Consider the following 6,000-nt stretch of genomic DNA (forward strand, 5'->3'; position numbering starts at 1 on the left):
AATGTGGATAGAATACTATTCAGCCTTAAAAAAGAAGAAACTCCTGTCATTTGTAACAATATGCATGGACCCGGAGAACCTTATGCCAGGAAAAATAAGCCAGGCATAGAAAAACAAATGTTTCTTGATCTCACTTATACGTGGGATCTAAACATGTTGAACTCATAGAAGCAAAGAATGGAATGTGGTTGTCAGTGGCCTGGCAGGTTATGGGAGATGGGAATTGGGAGATGTTGGTCAAAGTGTCCAAGGTTCAGTTAGACAGAATGAATAAGCTCTGCTACTATATAGTATGATGATTACAGTTAATAATAATGCATTGCATACTTGAAAATTCCTATGAGAGTGTAACTTAATGTTCTTACCACAAAAAATAATAAGTATGTGAGGTGATGGATCTGTTAATTAGCTCAATTTAATAATTTTGCAATGTATACATATATCAAAACATCACGTTATACACCACAGATATATACAATTTTATTTGTCAGTTGTAACTCATAAAAATAAAGATTCTAGAACGAATATATGGGTCTAGCAAGGTTGCAGGATTTAAGATTAAAAATCATAGTATTTTTATATACTAGCAACAAACAATCAGACATTGAAACTTTAAAATACACCATTTACATTTTATCAAAAATATGAAATACTTTGAGGTAAAGATGTGAAAGACCTATTATTGAAAACTGCGTAACATTGCCAAAACAAATTAAGGAAGACCTAAGTAAATGGGGAAATATACCATGTTTACGGATTGAAAGACTCAATATTGTTAGGATGCTAATTATCTCCAAATTAATCTACAGTTTCAATGCAATTTTAATCAAAATTGCAGCAGGCTTTTGGGGGGTTGGGTAAAAATTGATAAACTGTGTTAAAATTCACATGGAAATGCAAAGACCCCAGAACAACAACTTTGAAAAATAAGAACAAAGTTGGAGGACTTACACCACCTGACTTCAAACTTATTATAAAGTTATAGTAACAAAGACACAGTGCAGTATTAGCACAAAGAGAGACAAATAGATAAAGGGAATACACTTGGGTCCAGAATTAGTCCTCATGTATATAGGCAAAGATTTTTGACAAAGGTACAAAGGCAGTTCAGTCAAGAAAGGATAGTCTTTTCAACAGATGATGTTGGAATAATTGAACATATACCTGCAAAAAGTTAACTTCAACCAATACCTCATAACATGTACAAAAATAACTCAAACTGGGTTATAGACCTGAATATAAAGTGTAAAATTATAAAACTTTTAGACTAAAACGTAAGAGAAAATCTTTGTGACATTGAGTAACGTAAAAATTTGTTAGATACAAACCAAAAGTATAATCCATAAAAGAAAAAAATTGTTAAATTGGACTGCATCAAAATTAAGAACTTTTGCTCTTCATAAGTCCCTCTAAGAGAATAAGAAAACAAACCAAAGACAGAGAAAAACTATTATTTTCCAATCACATATCTGATAATGGACTTGTGTATGGAATATATAAATAATGCTCAAAATTCAATAATAAGAAAATAAACAATCCTAATTTTTATTTTTATCTTTAAAAATTTTTTTTTGAGAAAGAGTCTAGCTCTGTTGCCCAGGCTGGAGTGCAGTGGTGTGTTTTCACTGCAACCTCCGCCTCCTGAGTTCAAGCAATTCTCCTGCCTCAGCCTTCCAAGTAGCTGGGATTACAGGCACTCGCCATCATGCCTGGTTAATTTTTGTATTTTTGTAGAGATGGGGTTTCACTATGTTGGCCAGGCTGGTCTTGAACTTCTGACCTCAGGTGATCTGCCTGCCTCAGTCTTCCAAAGTGCTGGGATTACAGGCGTGAGCCACAATCCTAATGTTTAAATGGGCAAAAGATTTGAACAGACAGTTCACCAGAAAGATATACGGATATATGGATAAGCACGTGAGAAGATGCTCAACATCTTTAGTCATTAAGGAAATGCAAATTAAAACCAGTATGAGGTACCATTACACACTTATTACAATGGCTAAAATTAAAGAGACCTGTCATGCCAAGTGATGATGTTGTGAAGCAGCTGAAACTCATATGCACTACTGTGGAAATGTCAAATGGTGCAACTACTTTGGAAAACAGTTTGGCAGTTTCTTAAAAGTTAAAAATATCTCTACCACCAGTCATTCCAGCCTTACACATTTACCCAAAAGAGATGAAAGCATGTGTCCATACAAAGACTTGAATATGAATATTAATGTCAGCTGTATTTGTAATAGACCTAAACTGTAAACAACTGAAAGGTCCATGAACAGATAAATGGATAAACAAATTGTGTATAGTCATACATTAGAATATTACTGCACAATAAAAAGAAAAGGAAAGGAGTATTGAATTGATGCATGCAACAACATGGATGAATCTCTAAATAACTATGTAAGTGACAGAAGCCAGCTGAAATAGTACATACTGACTGCTACTAATTTTTATAAAATTCTAGAAAGGCTAATCTATGTTGACAGAAGGCTCTTTAATGGATTGAGTGGGATGGGATGGAGAGAGAAAAGGAGGCACACAGAAAATTTGGAGGTAATGAATGTATTCATTATCCATGATTGCTTCTGGTGCTATTTTCATGTATGGTTACATATGTCAACATGTCAAATTACACACTTTAAATATATACAGTGCATTGTATTATAACTCAGTACCATTCTGTTGTTGGGAAATAATCATAGGTACCATAAAAATTTACTTGTAAGGATGGTCATAGCAGAAATATTTATACTAGCATGAAAAAAATCAGAGCAGATCAAACACCCAATAATAAAAGGATATAAAGTATTTGTCTATCATAAAAATAAGTATTATGTATTTAGATAATATGAGATTTGTGATGAACTTCTGCGGATACAGGAGAAGGCACACAACATGTTAATGAAGAAAAGCAGGTTATAAAACCTTGAAATGGAATCCCAATTTAACCACCTTCTCCCCCTCACACCCACCTGTAGATAAAATTCTTGAAGGAAATGTACTACGTTGTCTATAGGCAGTAATATTATGCGTGGCTCTTATATTCTTATTTGTTCTTTTATCTCCTCCTATTTTCCAAATCTTTTTTTAAAAAAACACACAATTAACATTTTTACCCAGGAAATAACACTTTTTTTTTTTAAAGACAAAGAATTACCCAGATTGGTGACAATATTGACTCAAAACCATCAACTGGATGTTTGCTCCTGTCTACGGCTGGGTTCCTGCTTGTTCATTATGTCTGCCGTAGGTTACATTTTTGGTCACAGTGATTTGTTCCCTCTCTGTAGGTGGAGGATGTAGGCATTCTTAGCCATGTGACTTGCTTTAGCTAGCACAATGTTAGCAAACATGATGGAGGCCACACTGGAGCAAAATGCTTCAGATGTTGTTGTCTGGTTTGGCTTGGCCACTTCCTTCTGCAAGAGAAAGGCAAGATGTCTTCTCAGAATTGTTAGCTTAAAAATTACACAATGTGGCCAGGCGTGGTGGCTCATGCCTGTAATTCCAGCACTCTGGGAGGCTGAGGCAGGCAGATCATCTGAGGTCAGGAGTTCGAGACCAGCCTGGCCAACATGGTGAAACCCCCGTCTCTATTAAAGATACAAAAAATTAGATGGGAGTGGTGGCACATCCCTGTAATCCCAGCTACTTGGGAGGCTGAGGTAGGAGGATCGCTTGAACCTGGAAGGCGGAGGTTGCAGTGAGCTGAGATTGTACCACTGCACTCCAGCCTGGGCAACAGAGTGAGACTCTATCTCAAAACAAACAAACAAACAAGACAAAATAATTACATAATTTGTATATTTAGAAAAAGGAGAGCATTATTTCATATCAAGGTCATATCCTACAAGGTGGCCGTTCTCACAGGTTGGAGAGAGGAGTCTCCTGTTGAAGCTATTAGCAGGAACTTCAAGGAAAAGAGAGGAAAGACAGGAGTGTAAGCTGAATAGGTTGGGCTTATATACATATTCAACAGGATATAGGAGGAGCTATGAATATTCATGAAAGGGGGTTGTACACATGCATGACAAGCACACATGTGTTCCAAGTGACCCATGTTCACTTTGGGGTGGAGACTCAACATTTCCATGTATGACTGTTAGGCCCTGTATGTCAAAAGGTGAAGTGGGCACTCAGTGTGCAGCCTCTGTAAACTGGCTGGAACCAGTCCATACACAGCGGTCGTCTTATCAGGAGAAAGTTATTGAAATCTGTCCCTTGTCCACTCAAAGCTGTAGTTACGGCTTGTGGAACAGGGGGTTATTTAGTCAGCATCTAGAGGAGGATGAGCTGTAATTGTTTTAATATTGCTTATCTAAATAAGCCAGTGCTTATTTAACTGCTAAAGACAAAGAAAAACCTTGTGGTAGTTAGAACATGCTGTATTCTTTAAGTGGAGGCTATGTGACTTAACCTTGCCTCTCATGGCCTTAGGTTCTGTTTACAAATTGGCATCCCATTGCCACAAATAGTCTGTTCTTATGTCTTATCATCTATATTTTAACATAATTGACTGTCAGCATTGTGTCTAAACTGAAAAAGGGGCTGCGTGTGGTGGCTCACGCCTATAATCCCCCAGCACGTTGGGAGGCTGAGGCAGGGGAATTGCTTGAGCTCAGGAACTTGAGACCAGCCTGAGCAACATAGCAAGACCCCATCTCTACAAAAAAATTTAAAAATTAGCTGGGCATGGTGGTGCACACTTGTAGCCCAGCTACTTGGAAAGCTGAGAGAGGAGAATTGCTGGAGCCCCAGAGCTAGAGGCTGCAGTGAGCTATGATTGTGCCACTGCAGTCCAGCCTGGGTGGAAGAGTGAGACCCTGTTTCAAACCACAAGAACAACGACAACAAAACTGTAAAAGGTAAGGGGCATCATGAGGCATGTCTGACCTCCCATCCCATCATGGCTAAGAACTCAGTTTTTAAGGTTTCTTGGCCAAAGGGGGATCCATTAAGTTGGTTGGAAGGCTTAGGATTTTATTTCTGGCTTACAGAATGAAGGGGTTGTTCCTTAACCTTGGGGCCCAAAGTGAAAAGATATACAGAGGCAACCTGAAGACATTCTGACCCCTGGAGCAAAGCCACAGCTGACCTGCTGCCTTCATGTAACCAAAACGAGAAATTGAGGTTTGATGTGGAAGCCTCTGAGATTTTAGAATTGCTTGTAATCCAGCAATACATTTTTCTATTATAGATGATAACATCTCATAAGGCATAGCACAGCAGTGTGTTTACTACAAAATCTTGAATCTGGGTTAAGAGCATGCCCTAGGTTCCATGCCGTGGGGTAAAGGTGAATGGGTGAATGGGTGAGGACTTAGGGGTGGTGTTAAAAAATTCAGGAAGATGCCTCTAAAAGGCACTATTATGGGAGAAGGCAAATATTATGGGAAATGGGGTAGTAGGATGAGAGAATGGGGTGAGATGGTAGAGATGGAAAAAAGCGCATGGGAAAGGCATAATGCAAACTTGCATGCAGGCCTGGACAAGATGGAGAAAGAGGGGAAGATGCAGAGGAAGGAAGGCCCATGTAGTTCAAGAATAGTGCAGAAATGCTTTTCTCAGCCACCACTAGTGTCCTTTCTCTTCTTAAAAATGATGCTGGCATTACTTCTTTCTCAAGTGCACTTCTCACCTCATTTCCTTAGCTAGGAAGTGGAAAGTACTCCAATGTGGGTTTTGATGAAAGTGTCTGCGGCCCCAGCTGCTGGATGCACCATGCTGCCCGTATTTCTTCCTTTCCAAACAAGGGCTTCCTTTTAGATTGTGATATGGTTTGGCTGTGTCCCCACCCAAAACTCATCTTGACTTATAGCTCCCATAATTCCCACGTGTTGTGGGAGGGACCCAGTGGGAGGTAATTAAATCATGGGGGTGGGTTATTCCCATGCTGTTCTCATGATAGTGAATAAGTCTCTCGAGATCTGATGGTTTTATAAGGGGAAACCTCTTTCACTTGGCTCTCATTCTGTCTTGTCTGCTGCCATGTAAGACGTG

General features: G+C 38.8%; 1 annotated feature.

The window, feature by feature from the left end:
• Positions 5,562–5,749: a silencer, noted in NCBI's record as "fragment chr21:33200433-33200620 (GRCh37/hg19 assembly coordinates)". NCBI's record gives its function as "represses an EF-1alpha promoter that drives an FKBP-Casp9 reporter gene in an ReSE screen in K562 erythroleukemia cells {active_cell/tissue: K562}" and the evidence as "EXISTENCE:reporter gene assay evidence [ECO:0000049][PMID:32094911]".

Source organism: Homo sapiens, chromosome 21, assembly GCF_000001405.40.
Source record: "Homo sapiens chromosome 21, GRCh38.p14 Primary Assembly".
Lineage (NCBI taxonomy): Eukaryota > Metazoa > Chordata > Mammalia > Primates > Hominidae > Homo > Homo sapiens.